Here is a 17,824-nt window from a genome sequence, read left to right as displayed (position 1 = left end):
AATTCTGCATTTCACATTGGCCAAGACTATAAGCTCTGCTCACTGCAGTTATGAGAAAAACTGGGAAACTCATTTAAAGACATTAATCAGGGCCAGGCATGGTGGCTCATGCCTGTAATTCTGGCAATTTTGGAGGCCAAGGTGGGAGAATCACCTGAGCACAGGAACTTGAAACCAGTCCAGGCAGCATAATGAAACCCAGTCTCTACAAAAACAAAACAAAACAAAATCTGACTGTGGTGGTGCACACCTGTTATGCCTGAAGTGCTACCTACTCAGGAGTCTGAGCTGGGAGGTCACAGGAACCCAGGAGGCTGCAGTGAGCTATGTTCATGCCACTGCACTCCAGCCTGGGAGACAGACCATTTTTCAAAAACAAATTATAAATTAAATAATAAAATAAGGATAAATAAATAAAGACATATAAACTGTGCTCCTTGTAAAAGATAAATCTATGCTCCCTTAGTGAAGAAGATGAGAATAATGGATATAGCAGGGAAATGGACAGAAATGGCCATATTAGACCATAATGAAAGTCATAATAGGCACCCCAAATCAGTACCATTAAAGCCACATAATGTGACCATAATGCAGGCAAATTGTGACCAATTAAAACAAACTGACAAAAAAAAAGGGTATCCTGGAGCATACAAATTCTAAATCTAAATTGAATGGAACTCAAAGAGGGCTTCACATTGAAAATAAAACCATGGGTATGTAAGTGAATTGTAACAAAGCTACTACATAGCAACATTAAGGTGGCAGAGCAGAAAGGGGGCTAAGACAGCTATCTGTCATTTTATACCATTTTTTTAAGAAAAGAAAAACTATAAAATTATGAATTTGGGTTCTAATTGAGATATAAGACAATGATAATTGCAGTAACTGTTAACATTTACAGTGCTTCAGTCCTGCTATTGCTCATTCATGCCTAATAAGTGAAGAGCTGGAACTGAAAGCTTTCTTATATTTATTCCCATTGCAGTCTCCCTCCAGAGTGTGGATTCATGTGTAACAGGAGGGATAAGTGTTTAAAGAGGTCTTTTCTACATTTTTTACTTCCATAAGCAGTCTCTGCAGTGTGAGTTCTTGTATGAACTATGAGTCTGAGGCAACACTGAGGCTTTTTTCATGTTCCTTACTTTCATAGCTTCTCTCCAGTGTGAGAACAAATAGCTACTCAAGATGAATGAAGATGAATGAAAGGCTTTCCATAGAGTTTACCTTCACAGGGTTTCTTTTCACACTTCTGTAAGATATGAGAGTTCAGGAAAGATGTTCTCATGCATGTTAACTCATTGAGCTCCCTTCCAGTATGTCCTCCTCACATGTTCAGTATGGTGAAAAATTAATGATGATTTTCCACCTTTCACTCACAGGGCTTCTCACTATTGTATCTCTTAAGGTGGCTTTTAATTCTGATGACTTTGCAAAGTCTTTTCCACATTTGTCACATTTATAGGGTTTCTTTCCAGCATGACTCCTTATATGTGCATGTTTTGAGGCTTGCTGAAGGTTTTCCCACATTCCTTGCATTCATAGGGCTTGTCCAGAATGTTCTTTCTTAAATGTTTATTAAGGTGTAGGGAATATCTAAAGCCTTTGCCACTTTTGTCATATTCATAAGATTTCTTTCTAGTGTGAATTTTCATATGTCTCACAAGAAATGACAGATAAATAAAGGCTTTCCCACATTTGGGACATGTATGGCTTTTCTCTCCAGTAGTACTACTGCCGTGTGAACCAGAATTTGGAGCAGGGGCAGAGGTTATTCCACTTTGATGATTCTTATTCTTTGTCTCTACAGTACAGGACTGCATCTGCACAGCATGGACTGAGTTATTTCTGAAGACATTTTCATATTGAATAAAGTTATACATTTTCTCCCAAACATGAGTTATGTGGGCCCTAAGGCATACATCTTCACTGCAGGCTATTCCAAATGGACTCCACTCATGCATGTTTGCAGTTGTATTAATTTTACTATGTATATGATGGACATTGTTCTGACTGTCTATCCATGTGTTTGATTTTAGCTGTTTTTCTCCCATATGAAACCCAGTGAATGTTGTACCTCAAGACTATCATATTCATTGTTTTCATACATATCACTTTATTTCAATAGTTTTTGGGAAACAAGTGGTTTCTGGTTACATGGAAAAGTTATTTGGTGGTGATTTTCTGAGATTTTGGTGTATGCACTACTCGAGTCGTGTACACTGTACCCAATGTGTAGTCTTTCATCCCTCAACCCCCCAACCTTCCCTCCGAGTGCCCAGAGTCCCTTATATCATTCTTCTGTCTTTACACCCTCATAGCTTAGCTCCCACTTATAAGTGAGAACATACAATATTTGTTTTTTTATTCCTGAGTTACTTCACTTAGAATAATCATCTCTAACTCCATCCAGATTGCTGCAAATGGCATTATTTCATTCCTTTTTAGGGCTGAGCAGTTCCATGGTGTATCTATAACACATTTTCTTTGTCCACTCATTGGCTGATAGACATTTAACCTGGTTCCACATTTTAGCAACTGCAAATTGTGCTGCTATAAATGTGTGTACAAATGTCTTTTCATATGACTTATTTTCCTCTAGGTAGATACCCAGGAGTGGGCTAATACAAATTTAAATAGAAATAATTATAAAATAAAGTAATCACCAAGTGAAAATTACTATTTCTAGTAGTAAAACAAAATACATTTATTGAGTAAAATTTGAACATATTTCTGCTCACATAAAGGATATGTAACTTCTGTATTTTGTATAAATGATATGCTTTATCTCACTAGACTCATCCTGTGGTTAATTTGTGGGGAAGGGCAGGAGAAAATAACATATCTTTAAATTTAGCTTCTTGATTCACATTTTTCTTCAAGTTTCAATAGCTCTATTTTAGGAAAATGCCTCCAAGAAGATATTCAGATGCTTTGGGCTTTCTGTGGCCTCAAGGCAAAGTGAAAGTGAGTCTCAAGTCTCCTATTGTCTTCATGCTGTTCTCTGGATCTCTGCTTTCTCTGTGGCAGAGGGTCTCTCTGGTCTGATCGCTGAGGCCATTGCATTGCTTTTCTCTGAGATGAAGCTTGTACTCTTGAATCAGAGTACAGTGGAATTCCCTGCCTCCTGTTGGCTTGGATAAGATCTTCAGATCTCTCTGAGTTTCAGCATCCTTCTTCTTCCACAGTGTGGCTGGCATTGTCACATGTGGCCTTTTTGGCCAGCTCATTTTGCCCCTTGGTGCAGTGGCCCCATGTTGTGTATGTTAGTTTTCAACTCAGTTAAGTTGCTTCCTATTTACCTCTATGACACTTCCACATTGCATAGATTCATAGGTCTAGCAAGAGGTTTTTTTATATAAACCAAGCTGCCAGAAACAGAAGAATGCTCACACAGTAAGTCAGATAAACCAAATTTATCACTCACAGAGGAGCAGGAAGAATCAGCAAAAGCCTAAGTTCTATGGCAAGCCTGACCCTTGAGGTCAGAAAAGTTGCCCAGGGTTGATGGAGTCTCCTCTGCACATGCTCCACTGTGTACTGCAGCTGAGGAACCCCTGAGTGCTCTGCCCTAGGTTTCACTCCCCATGTGCTACTTGGCTCTCTGAGTTTAAGAGTTGCAGGAATATCCTGTTCTAGGAACAACAAGGGCAGAGCCCAGACTGTCCCAGACAGTTTCTCCTTATCTCAGGATATTGTCTTCTCGGAACATTCTAAAATTATTCTGAGAACCAGGAGGTACAGAAAGCTGAGTTGGCCAAGGCCATTCAGGTCTTGTCCTCCTGACCACATAAACAAAGTAGGCTATAAAACAACAAGCATTAGCAGAAATAATCATATTGCATTATCATAGCCCTTCTTTATTATGATAAAAAGAATTTATCCACCAAAAAGTTTTCTGAACTCTAAATCTGAATGAACCCAACAAAACAGAGATTTGGGCCTGTTGTTACAATTTAATAAAGGATTTACTAAACCAAAAAATTTACTTAAATACATAAACTCTGGAAGGAGTATAAAAATCATAAAGATTCATTTCAATAAAGGCTGGCATGCAAGGTTATCAGACATGTGACAGAGTAGTAGAAAATGTTGACAGTGCTTAGGGCACAGTGAATATGATTGATTTTCAAATGAACAAAGAAGATAGTCAACTCAATAGAAAGATGGGCCGAAAAATTCCAATACATTATTAACAATATGACAGATGCAAATGTGCACAATAAAATGAGATCTGTATTTTCACCACTCGCTTAGAAAATATAAGAATCCTACGTAACATTGTGTGATGAGGATATGAGGAAAACAACCTTTATGGGCAATGGATGGGAAATTCAATGGTTTTAAACATTTCAGAAAATAACATGACAGGACCCATCTGAAAGTATGCATACTCTACAACCTGTCTCAATGACGGGCACATATACCTGATATAGTTTGTATGTGTGTCCCCTCCAAATCTCATGCTGAAATGTGATCCCCCATGTTGGAGGTGGGGCCCAGTGAGAGGTATTGGATCATGGGGTGGATCCCTTATGAATAGTTTAGCACAGGAATGTCCAACTTTTGGCTTCCCTGGACCACAACGGAAGAATAATTTTCTTGGGCCACACATAAAATACACTAAAAATAGCTGCTGAGCTAAACACACACACACACACACACACACACACACACACACACACACGCACACACACACAAAATCTCTTATGTTTTAACAAAGTTGACAAATTTGTTTTGGGCCACATTCAAAGCTGTTTGACCTGCATTCAGCCTGCAAACTGCAGGTTAGACAAGCTTGGTTTAGCACTATCCCCTTGTGAGTGAGTTCTTATCAGTGAGGTCATGAGAGATCTGATTGTTAAAAACAGCCTGGGACTGCCCCCTTCTCTCTCTTACTCCCTCTCTGACCATGTGACACACTGGCTTCCCTTCACCTTCTGCCATGATTGTAAGCTTCTTGAGGCCTCACCCAGAGCAGACGCCATTGCTTCCTGTGCAGCCTGCAGAACCCTGAACCAAGATAAACCTCTTTTTTTAAAAAATAAATGAATAAATTACCCAGCATCGCGTGTGTCTTCATAGCAATAGTAACAGACTAACGTAGACCCTGCCAAATTGTGACACATGACCAAAAAGTGTTTTCATAAGAATACCACAAGGAAGTGAATATTTCAGTAGCAGGATATCAGTGTGAATTCTACTGCAAGACTGGATAGGGAAAATGCGGTTGATTCATTTTGTCCAAAACTATGCAGCAGCTGCAGGGGAATAAACAACCAAAAATAACCTACAGCAGTGTGGGAATATATGAAGGATGTGATGCTCTGTGACAAAAATAGAAATAAAATCAGATTTATGGCACGATACTCTTTAAGAAAAATGTATACACTTTTGTATATACACATACACACACTCAGAAAACAACCTTCTTATCTTGTAAGAATTCTTTAAGAGTAAAGAACTTATATCAAACACATTAGCATGCCTGTCTGTGACAAGGGATAAAGAATAAAAAAATTGAATAAGTAAAACCAGAAAGAAACTTTTAGGAAACAATAATAATAATGTCTCATGTAGTAAAGAATATGATTAATTTTTTGCAACTGTGGTATAAAAACAGAAACTGTCAAAATCACATGTAATGAGCTTTAGTATAGAGCTTATTGTAGGGCAAAAATCAAATTTTAAAGACTTAGTTTGCATAGTTGGATGGAGGAATGGTCTCCTATGTGAAGTAGTAAGATACACGAAACAATCCCATGGGTGTATGGGAAGAAAATACTCAAAATGCTACTTATATTTATCTTTTACTCATTTTTCCAACAGTTTAGTATCTAAATGCTAGGGGAGGCCAGATGTGGTGACTCACACCTGTAATAGCAGTGCTTGAGGGTGGGGGGCAAGGCAGGAAGAACACTTGAGGCCAAGAGTTCTAGGCCAGCCTGGGCAACATAGTGGGTTTTTGTGTCCACACACAAAAAATAAAAATTAGCTAGGCATGATGCTATGCACCTGTAGTTCTATCTACTGGAGAGGCTGAGGCAGGAGGATCACCTGAGGGAGGAGTTTGAGGCTGCAGTGAGCCATGATCACTCTACTGCACCATAGCCTGGGTGACAGAATGAGACCCTGTCTCTTAAGTGAAAATAAGTAAGAGCTAGGAGACCACATGATTTTCTAGTTTTCAGCCCCTATTGAAGTTCCCTGTAGATTATTTTGCTTATTCCCAATGTTCCAGGTGTTTCTCCACATTGTAGGCTTGTCCTTCTACCTACTCAAGGCCCCAGATCCAGCAAATGTCCTCAGAGATGGACTCCGCTGCTAATCTGTGATCACCTAGGAAAGGCTTATTTTTCTCTGAAATTTAGTTCATTGTAACTTTAGGCCCATAGTGTTTTGATGGCTTTAAACAAAAAAAAAATTTTAAGTTCATCCAATGTCTTCTCGTTATGGCAGGAGCAATTGCCCTTGGTAACTTTATTTTAATTGGAAGAAGAATCTCTAATGTAGGCATTGTAATGAGGTTTTTGGTCTTTGACCTTACTGGAGCAGTTAAATTCAAGTCTATTTCCTATATTATTCATGTATTGAAGGATCAAATGAGAAAATATATGTAGAGTGTATAAAGTGTCTAATGTACACTACTGATATACAGTTGTATTATGACTACACACTGAAAACACATAATCAACCAGATTGCTTCCTGAGACCTAGAGCCAGGCTTTTCCAATGATTCTTAACTGTCAAATAATTCTATTCAATTTTTCATGGGACTTAGGGTTTGGTCCATGAAGTGTTGCCATGGTATGCAAATCAATTATGTCAATAAGCATGTTAGTTTATTCAGCAAATATATTCTTGTAGCAATAGTTACTCAATGAAAGAACTAATATATTTAATTTCTAGTAGAAGCTACTTCTGTCATTGTGAACTGGTTACAAACCTTGAATGCTCTAGCTATTTTGAGGAGCATTAATAGGCATTACCCAAAGAAGATGATATATTCCCTAGACAGCAAGAACTCTTATTCCTGTTAATCTTCTTTTTGATAAACTCTACAGTCTCTTTGTAGTAAATCCAGGTTCTGTGGGATGTACAAAACAATCCCCCATAAATTTAAATTTATACCTATGATCATGTGTAATGAAATTAGCCCTCAAGAGCCAACTTGAGACCATGTTCAGAATGGAAGCTTCAGAAACCTATGGCACATGAATATAAGACCATTTTAGACACAGTCCCCAAATTACCTCTGAATTCAGTGGGAAAAAAGTGACAAGGAACAATATTTAGGGCATCTAGGATAGTGCTACCTTCTCGTGCCTAACATAAGCAAATTAAAACCTCATACTAATGCTCTGAAGCCTAATAATAACTAGTAAGGTTCATGTCTGTCAAAAAGCCACTGCAGGCTACTGTTAAAACCAGCTACACAACCATCTGAAAGCCATTTGCCTCCCTCTAGTTAAAAACAGTCCCATGTCTACTGATGATGTAGTTAAGGCTGTATCAAGATCTATCTCTCAGCAGGGACATGTTCCCCAAATGCTAATGTTTGACCAACAAAAGTTTTGCAGCCAGAGCTTGTGCAAGTATTGGTAGATAGAAAATACAAAATCAAACCATTTCTCATGAATGATTAAACAATTAAAAAAATAAATGCAAGAAGCTTGTGTGCATGTGCATGGGTGTATGCATGTGTGTGTATATTCAGCTTTGTTATATTTATTTAACTTTATTAACTTTGTTTAAAATTTAATTTGAAAATTAGATTGGGGAGCAAAATATCATTCTTTCTCTCTCATCATAAAAGTTTTGGCTCATGGGATTCTGACATTCTGTCATGCTTGGAAAAGTTGGATTTATGAAACCAGTAGCTGGACTGAGCCTGCCTATGCAGCTCTTACACAAGTGCTTCCTATTTTGTGCACAAGCAGCCTCAAGAACCCAAAGATAGTGATTGAGAGAGACAGGCTCTGAAGCCTTTTTATTTCAACTTCTTGGAATCACCACCTTGCTAATAAACATCAAAATCTTCTGTGTCATTTATCAGATTAATTACTTTTTCCATAAAAAGAGTGAGTTGAGAAACTAACCAGCAAGAAACTCCCTGTCCCTTCTTCATCCTGAAAACAGGAGAATCAATATCTTAACCCTGTTTTTGAGAGATGAATGGGTAGGTCAATATTGCTTGGCTATTTGTCCTTCCACTTGGGAGAGATTACTGCTGCATTTTCCCCTCAATCTCTAGAATCATGGCTTATAGAAAACAATTATGTACTGAATTACTAATTGCACCAAAATTTTATTAGACTTCTTATCAAAGAGCATGCTCAGATTTATTTATTATTAATAGTAACAAAAATATAAAAATTTGAAAACAATATTATAAATAACAGAGAAAAGCTATGCACTGTTATGAAAGCCTTTCATATTTAGGGATATCAGGTAAGGCTTCTCTTGGTGGGGAAGATGAAGAGCAAACTAAAATAAAAGTAAGAGCTAATTATGTAAATCTGGGATGGTAGTGGGAAAAGCATATGAATAAGAAGACCAAAGTCCAGAAGGCAAGAAAAAATATATCTGAATCATTTAGCTCAATAATGTTCATGCCACAAGATGGGGGAGAGAGAAAAGAAACAAATTTTGTACTGCTTGAACCCATTTTTTGACTCTTGATTGGACTCCTAGTACCAATGTGAAGTCTTTGGGAATTTTTAAGCCAAGCAATTTACAATGTAAATTGTATTTACATTTCAAGTAAGTCATTTTGGATATAGCACAGAAACATTTTTGGAGAGAGAATCAGGGAGAGCACTTTAGAGGTGCTCACTGTAGCCCAGGTGAGAGAGTGATGGGGTGGAATTCATGATGGCAATGAAGACAGAAAGAGAAAAATTCATTCAAGAAAAAGAGAGAAGGTAAAATCTGACAACACTTGGTGACTGAAAATGGAAATGTGAAGAAGAAAATGTCAAGAATTACACTGAGATGTCAGGTGTAGGTAGAGGTCGACATCACTTGCTGGAAAGAAAAAACACAGGAAGAATACCACTTTCAGTGAAAGAGACATCTGGGTTGCTTAAAGTATCATGAAATGGGACTTTTCCAGTTCCACGCAGGTAAGTTAGGACGGCTCAACCTTGAGGCACAAAAGATGGTGATGGTGGTAACAGTGGCCTTGAGACCAGGACCTATACCAGACTCTAGAAAGATTAGTGTGATTTGGAGTAGCTACAGACCGGAATATTTCAGTGAAAAACAAAACAAAACATTCACACTTATTCTTGGAATCTTGCTTTATTTGAAGGAGTAAATAATTGGGCCTTACAGCTGTAAGTTTTGGTAAGCCCTAAAATGAACAGAAAATTGTATAAAATGGAAGCAATTCACCAATTCTATTCACTAAGCATTTAATGATTTTCTTCCAGGTTTAAGTATTATGATAGACATTGTACAGTAATTAATTTATTGACCATCTTCTCTGGTGTTTGTATTAATACACAAAGAGATATAACTTTAAAAGTATAGTATTGCTTTCAGCTTACACCAATCATTACCCATTATCCCAATTCATTAAATCAGATTGTTTCAGCGATAAGTTACATTTTGAAGTTAATGAAATACTTAAAAGGCTGTGATGTTGTAACTTCATATGTAGTATGCAAAACATGTTTGATTCATGTTGTTCAACACAATTTCATCATAAAATCTTATCTATAAAACAATATTTTTACACACCTAGTATTATTCTCTTGCTTTATGTAAACTTTATGTCTATCATTTATCTCTATCAAATAAAGTTATATTTCTAGTTTTTTATTCCCAAACATAAATGACACCATTAATTTTTACAAACATTAATGATGAACTATACTCACTCATAACTCTTTATGTCTAAGTTTTCTTAGAGTTATTGAACAATTTCTGAGTAACTAATGGCTAGCCTTTTATTATTCTATGATGATAAATATTTTTCAGTATCCAGGCTTCAGATATATTTTTGAAAACTTATTTCTCTATGGGTCAAAATTTAAATCAGTTGTAATATGTGATCCACTCACAAATATATTCTCCAGGCTGAGCTATTAAAATGAAATACCAAAGTGGCTCCCCAAGACACCCATTTATAGTCTATACGTGCAGTGCAGGGTTACTGAACCAAGGCACAGTGTAATCAGGGAAATTTTATTTTTTGTTTTCTTTTTCCTAAGATGTTTTTTATTTCCAGTTATATAAAAATGTATATTACAGGCAAAGAAAAATTAACATGAATGGAAGTAAATATAAAGTATATTCACATTAATATCAGCTTTGCTTTATCTATTAAAGTATATAACAAGCTTGTGGTTTTCAGGACCTTGTAACTCCTGGTTCATTGGAAAGCACAGAAATTCTTCAGAGCCTCAAGAGTTGTGTTTAATGCACTATTTAAATAGTCTCCAACCACTAGTTAGATAGCTTAGCACTCAAATAGCCTTTGAAATCTCTGTAGACTCACCTCAGTTGAGCAGTCCTGATAATTTACAGAAGTGTGTAGTGCATTAAGAGATCCCTGATGTATGATGTCTTTGCCTGTAGAGTGTTTTCTGTGTTTATCCACTGAAGTGTGTGTGTGGGTGTGTTTCTGTGTGTAGGTGGGTGAGTATGGGTGTGTGTGTGTGTCTGCATGTAGGTGGGTGAGTATGAGTGTGCACGGGTGTGTGTGTATGTGTTTATATTGTGGTGTGTGTCTGTTGGGGTGCTGCCATCAGGGATTTGGAAGACTGAGAACCATAAACTTGTAAACACTCCTACATGCCTGCTTCATAAGAAGTGTATTGAACATGGCCAAAAGTAACTAAACCAAGTAAGCAAATTAGACATTAATTAAGTTTAATGCTGGGCAGGAAAGAAGTATTAAAGACCAGGTAAAATGAAGAAATATAACCAAATGAATGAAAATTTTAAATTGATTAGTAGAATGAGACAGGAATATTTTTTAAAGTTTATAATTTCTAATGAATATCAGTATACAAAACTAAGAATTATATGGCTGTCAATTGACTAAAAACTGTACTTAAGATTTGAGCTAGTGAAACAACCATATATGATCTTCTAATTCCACTTTTCTGTCTCAAGAAGGACTTGTTAAAATGATTTTTTTTTTTGAAATTTTACATTCTCATCTTGAAAGAGCTTCACAAAACTTACTTGAGAATCTGGATTGTCATAAGAGGTCTGATTTTTTAATGGTATGTTTGTATTTCTATTATGTACATCAATGTCAAGCATTCATTTCCTGAGCTGTTCTCCAGAACACAATTTAACTTGTAATGGACACTCAATAAATGGTCGGTTGGATAATCAAATCAACACCTTAGTTCCATCAGTTTTCATTTCATATAAAAATCACTGATCTTCTATACTCATCAATGAAACAGAGAGATGAAGGAGGGAGAGGAGCTGAGACTGAGAGGATGACAAGCAGACCTCATTCTGCACTTCTGAATGCTTGGAAACACTTGCCATGCTCAAAAAAATTGGTATTTCCTAGGCAGCAAAAGGGAGTTAAAGAAAGTCCATATTTCTGTATTACAATAACTTACACTATAATACACAGATGACATACATTTCTAAGCTATTCAATTCATAGAAAATGTAGATAAATTTAGGTGAGCAAGATGTAGGAGAAGGGTTAGTAATCCAGCTGAGTGTGATTGTGAGATTAAATCTAATATTATCTTATACAATTGTTGTATAATTGTATCAGTTGACATATCTGTTGTAACAAAAGGTGGGAGAGTTTTGCATGAGCTTCTGAAATTTACAGGATGATGTTAGGAGAGAGGTTGATCAATGTGGCTAGGCCAGATGTATTTACTAATTGAGGCTTAAGAAAGTTAAGTTCCTAACCTCTCCCAGAGACTGGGAGATAAAGGCGCTAAATTGTATAACATTTATATTTAATATATATTTAATAATATATATAAAGTCCTAAAATGCCAATTTTAAGTCTTTTCATTTTCTTCTTAAAAACAGAGGTTTTATTGTGTTTGGTCCACAGTCGGTATTTCACATTATCTCATGATCCGGGGTCCCTGGGTGGGGGGCCCTGTGCAGTACTTGGCAGGGCGTGTGGTTGGGGGAGATACAGCAGTAGACCTGGTCAGGCCCAGAAGGGGAGAAGGAGGGCTGGGGCTCCTTAAAACCTACTGAGGGGCTGGGCGTGGTGGCTCACACCTGCCATCCCAACACTTTGGGAGGACGAGACAGGCAGATCACATGAGGTCAAGAGTTCCAGATCAACCTGGCCAACATGGTGAAATCCTGTCTCTACTAAAAATACAAAAAATTAGCCAGGTGTGGTGGCACAGGCCTGTAGTCCTAGCTACTCTGGAGGCTGAGGCAGGAGGATCGCTTGAGCATGGGAGGCTGGTGCAGTGAGGCGAGATTACTCCACTGTGCTTCAGCCTGAGAGACAAAGTGAGACTCCATCTCAAAAAAACAAAAACAAAAACAAACAAAAAAACCCTACTGAGGGCCACGGGGGTAAGGGGACTAGTATGGAGAGGGGTCAGGCTTAACACTAACAACGGAGAATTCCACTACCTTGTAGGGGCCTGTTTCCTCACCGGGCCCCAGCGTAGGTCTGAGGGTCTGAGGTCTGTTGGTCTGAGGGTCCTAGGGAAATCCAGCCACTCAGGAGCCTGAGATATTTTAGCATCCTGGCCTGGCCCCCTGTCCCAAGGGACTGATTTCCCAGCACCCACTGTCCCTGCCCCATTCCTGGGGGAAAAAAAATTTTTTTCTTTTGTTAATACTTCTTGAAACTTTTGCGGGTACAGAAACCACAAACTGATCGGCTGACAAAAGGGGGAAGAGGCGAGGCAACGGGAAACCTTCGGGGACCGGTTCCCTCCATGCCCAGGTCTCGTCTCCCCAGCACAGCTAGGCCCACAGCCTGGACGCGCCAGCGGGGACCCTCACCCGACACGCATCGGGATATGGCCTTGATCCCTTCCCCCACAGCCCGGTGGCTCAGTCCTGCAAAGGAACGAAAGCAACGGGGAAAAAAAACCCTGCTGCCTGATCCCACGCTGCTACTCACAGACGCTCCGTTGACTGGCAGCACTGAACAGGTTAAAAAAAAAAAAGATGAAAACACAGAAAAACCCAAACACCCAGACAGGGAGACCATGTGGGGAGAGAGCGTGCTGGGAGCCTCAGTAGCTGGTCTCCTCTTGGTAGTAAGGGAGATATTCAGGGGCCTCCACTGGCCCCGGGCAGTCGCCTGCACCTGAGGGAGCCCCGTGGGCCACTGTGCTCCCAGGCAGTACTTGGGGTCGTATATCTGTCGGCCCAGGCTGAAGACCTGGCTGCTCTGGTTGGTGCCCAGCGTGTAGCCCATCTTCAGGGTCGTGGAAGAGTTGTCATACTTGTGATTCCCAGCTTCGTGTCGTAGATGTGCCACCGGGTCCCAGGAGCCGCCATGCCCACCTGGCTGGCACACTTGCTTGTACCCATCTGGAGGCTGATGGTCGAGTGGTCCATGGGGGGCAGGATGTTGTTCTTGGGGTCGTAGAGATGCCTCCTCGTGCTCTGCCGTACACAGTCGTGCCTGACTGGCTGGCGCGTTTATTGGTAATCTGCAGCCGGATGATGCACTGGCCAGCCTTCATGGTGGCATCGTCGAAGTTCCCCTCCTGCTTCTCTGAGTACTCCTCACCGATGTCCACCTCGCTCTGCAGCCCCTTAGTCTTGGCCTTCCTTGCCAGGGCGAGAAGAGACACCTGCACCTGCCTCACGTTCCCACTCTCAAACAGGTCGTTGGTCTCAAATAGGTCCACGGGGTTCATGCTGTAGCTGACCATGGCCTTGAGGAGGTTGGAGAGGCTTTCTAGCTGGTACCAGTTCTACACTGAAGCGGTTGATTTTTGGGTACTGAGCCCGGCTGCAGTTTGTTCATGAGTGTGCATAAGATAATCCCGTCCTTCAGGCCCTTCTGGAAGTCGGGCCGATGGAGAGGCCAGTGAGTCCCTAGATCCAGCTGCGGAGCTCTACCTCCTTCTGGGAGTCATATTTGGACAGGAACCGGTTCTGGACGTCCGCCAAGAGCCTGTAGGAGGGGCCTTTGTTGAACTGCGTGGAGCTTACAGCTGGCTGGCCCCGTGGCGGGACGGGACCACACGGGACCGGGGACTGTCTTTTTTCTAGTTTGCAAGATTTTGTTTTCGCCACACCATTGTTTTTACTACATATCTTTTGTGTATTTAAAAAATGTGTGAAAAATGTTAGACCATCTCCCTTTTTTCCACCTTCCCTTTACCCTTTACTGTGATTTACATCCACACATCCACACACACACACACACATCCACACACACACATGCACACACACATACTGAGCGAAATTAATTTAGATGTACGAATGGGTTATTTGAAGCAAAAAGTCAACCTATATTAGTAAAAGTGTCATGCCAGTGGGAATTACATTTATAATCCTTTTAAGAAGAAAGAACTTCCGGCCGGGCGCGGCGGCTCACGCCTATAATCCCAGCACTTTTGAAGGCTGAGGTGGGCTGATCACGAGGTCAGGAGCTCAAGACCAGCCTGGCCAAGGTGGTGAAACTTCGTCTCTACTAAAAATACAAAAAAAATTAGCTGGGCTTGGTGGCATGCGCCTGTAATCCCAGCTATTCAGGAGGCTGAAGCAGAGAATTCCTTAAACCCGGGAGGCTGAGGTTGCAGTGAGCCGAGATCGCGCCACTGCACTACAGCCTGGGCGACAGAGCGAGACTCCATCTCAAAAATAAAATAAAATGTTGAATTTTTACAAGTCATTGTTCCTATTCCAATTTTTGAATGCAACCACAGCCTCTAACAAAACAGCCTCCTTAAACTAATTCGCTGATAATGAATTCTTAAGTAAAAGGGGAATTCCACAGAAATATATATGGCTCTTTTATATTTAATAAAAGAGCCTGAAAAACAGTTGTGTTCTGTAAAACTGAATTACTTTCTATCCGGTTCCACTGGTTCGCAGTGTTTTACCTTTATATTAAAATATACATAAATGATTGATGAATTTTTTTCTTTTAGACACTGCTGCTGAATCCATGGAGAGAAAAAGGATAAATTTCCAGAACTATGGTCCCTGTGCTCCAGTTCACCAGGCGGGCGCGGCGGAGACGGAGACCAAGGAACACGGCTGGGGCGATGCGGCGCTACCCGCACGTGGTGGCGCTGTGTCTGGCCTGCGGCTTCTGCTCGCTCCTTTACGCCTTCAGCCAGCTCCCCATGTCCCTGGAGGAAGCAGCAGGCGGTGGTGGCGGGAAGCAGCAGGCCTCAGTGGCTTCCTGGCTGGCAGGAGGCGGATGCGGTGCCGTGAGAGGCGCGGGCAGCGCTGGTCCTGCTGTGCATCCTGGTGGGTGGGACAGGTGTCGTCTGAAAATACAGCCTGTTGAGAAAATGCATCTAGCTGTAGTTGCCTGTGATGAAAGACTGGAAGAAACTATGACCACGTTGAAGTCAGCTATCATTTTTCAGGATCAAAGCTCTTCAATTCCAGGTTTTTGCTGAAGATCAGCTACATTATAGCTTTAAAGGAAGACGTGACAGGGGTCATTTCTGCAAATATTTAATTATACAATATACCCCATAACCTTTCCAAGTGAGAATGCAGCAGCATGGAAAAACTCTTTAAACCATGTGGTCCGCAGAGATTGTTCTTGCCGTTATTCCTGAAAGAAGTTGACTCCCACACTAATAGCCTTTTTTACGACCAGTTGATCATATTTGTTCTTTACTAAAGAAATTTAATTCCACATAAATTGCTCCAGTGGCCTCAGAACACAAGGAACCTCAAATAAGATGGTATAGTCGCTTTGCTAGGCAACCATACTGTGGAAAAACTGGAGTAAACCCTGGAATTATGTTGATGAATATGACTCGAATGAGAAGGAAGTATTTCAAGAATGATATGACAAACTGTGTGACTACAATGAAGAGATATACTTATGACATGGCTTAAAGAATACAAACTAAACATTACATAGGCAATCAAGATTTACATGGGCAATCAAGATTTGTTGGATATCATGTTTTTTCATAATCCAGAAAGTCTTTTTGCCTTTCCGTGTCAATGGAATTATCATCCAGATCATTGTCTATATGGAAGCAGTTGCCAAGAAGCAGAAGAAGGAATCTTGATTCTTCAGGGAACAGAGGTGTTTACCATGATGATAAGCAACCAGCATTTAGAGCTGTTTATGAAGCACTGAGAAATTGTTCTTTTAAGATGACAACATTCATTCCCTAATAAAACCTTTAGAACTGGAACTACAAAAAACAGTGCATACATACCGTGGAAAAATTTACAAAATATTTGTCAAACAACTAGCAAAAACCATAAGAGATCATTATGCCAGATGACCAAAGGAAAGGTGATTCTTGGTGCCTGCTACATCAAAGGATGAAAACAGCAAAGCATTGGAGGATAAGTGTGAAGGAATCATCTTGGGTGAAGCATTAATGAAGGAATTATTCATCTCTGGAATATTTTTTTTCCCAAAGAGGTTAAATGAGCAGTATTTTCAGGTAATGAAGAATAAATTAAAATCTTGGGCTCCAACAAAGAAACATTTTTGGCCTCTGATGTTTTGTAATGTTACTTACTACCATTCCAGTATTGGTGAAAATATTATTGAATGGTTTTAGCCTGCAAACTTCTGTTGACTCATACTCTCAAGTAAGAGTGCTGGGGCTGTGAAGATGAAGAAAATGTATCTCAAGCACAGTGCAAACTTTAACTTTCTTAAAGTAAGGCTCTAGACAAGGCTGTGAGTAGAGCGATAATTTTATGTCAGCACTGACCTCGCTTTAAATGTGTGAAAAAAAAAGTTTGTTTACAGGAGAAGAAACAGTTCTGTTTCTAAAGAAATGTAACAGATGTAACCATGGATGATCTATGTCTGCCTTTATACATTTCATGTCTGTTTTAAAATATTTTTATGACAATCATGTTTAAAATTGTTTTTAGATTATAAGTAAGCTGCATGTTAAAAATTGAACTGTATAAGAAAGAGGAAATATAGTGAAAACTTTGGGGTTTTAATCTGTGCATGTGTGAGAGAGAGTGAGAAATGTAGTGTTTTCATTGTGTATGCATTAAACTGTCTTGCCAAAACTCAGATCTAAGATTGTTAAGTAGATATTTGGGGAATTTTTTTTATCACTTTAAATGAAAAAATTTCAGCTTTACTGGGTATTCTGGAAGCAAAATATATTATGCTGATGATAAAGTGAGAACCTTAAGGGTATACTCATTTGATGGTGGAAAATGTGATGGACCAAAATTCAGAAGCTATACACATCCTGTGAGTAGTAATTTTAGTTACGATGGAGTAGAAAAATGTGGTGCATTTAAACTTTTCTTCTACCTCATAATGGCTTTGCAAGATACTTGTAAAGAAGCAAATGTCTAGAGCCTTACTTTAAGAAAGTTAACAATGAACTCAAACAAATTTACAAGAAAAAAACAAACAACCCCATCAAAAAGTGGGCAAAGGATATGAACAGACACTTCTCAAAAGAAGACATTTATGCAGACAAAAGACACATGAAAAAATGCTCATCATCACTGGCCATCACAGAAACGCAAATCAAAACCACAATGAGATACCATCTCACACCAGTTAGAATGGCAATCATTAAAAAGTCAGGAAACAACAGGTGCAGGAGAGGATGTGGAGAAATAGGAACACTTTTACACTGTTGGTGGGACTGTAAACTAGTTCAACCATTGTGGAAGTCAGTGTGGCGATTCCTCAGGGATCTAGAACTAG

At 39.5% G+C, this 17,824-nt stretch overlaps 3 pseudogenes; 1 reads left to right on the top strand and 2 right to left on the bottom strand.

Moving 5' to 3' along the window:
* On the bottom strand, positions 1,038-2,103 carry ZNF114P1 (zinc finger protein 114 pseudogene 1; annotated as a pseudogene).
* CNN2P7 (calponin 2 pseudogene 7) lies at positions 13,009-14,182 on the bottom strand (annotated as a pseudogene).
* Positions 15,133-17,362, top strand: GXYLT1P2 (GXYLT1 pseudogene 2; annotated as a pseudogene).
* Positions 17,363-17,824: the final 462 nt, after the last annotated feature.

This window comes from Homo sapiens, chromosome 21, assembly GCF_000001405.40.
Source record: "Homo sapiens chromosome 21, GRCh38.p14 Primary Assembly".
Classification (NCBI taxonomy): Eukaryota; Metazoa; Chordata; class Mammalia; order Primates; family Hominidae; genus Homo; species Homo sapiens.
This window is presented reverse-complemented; position numbering and strand designations above follow the sequence as displayed.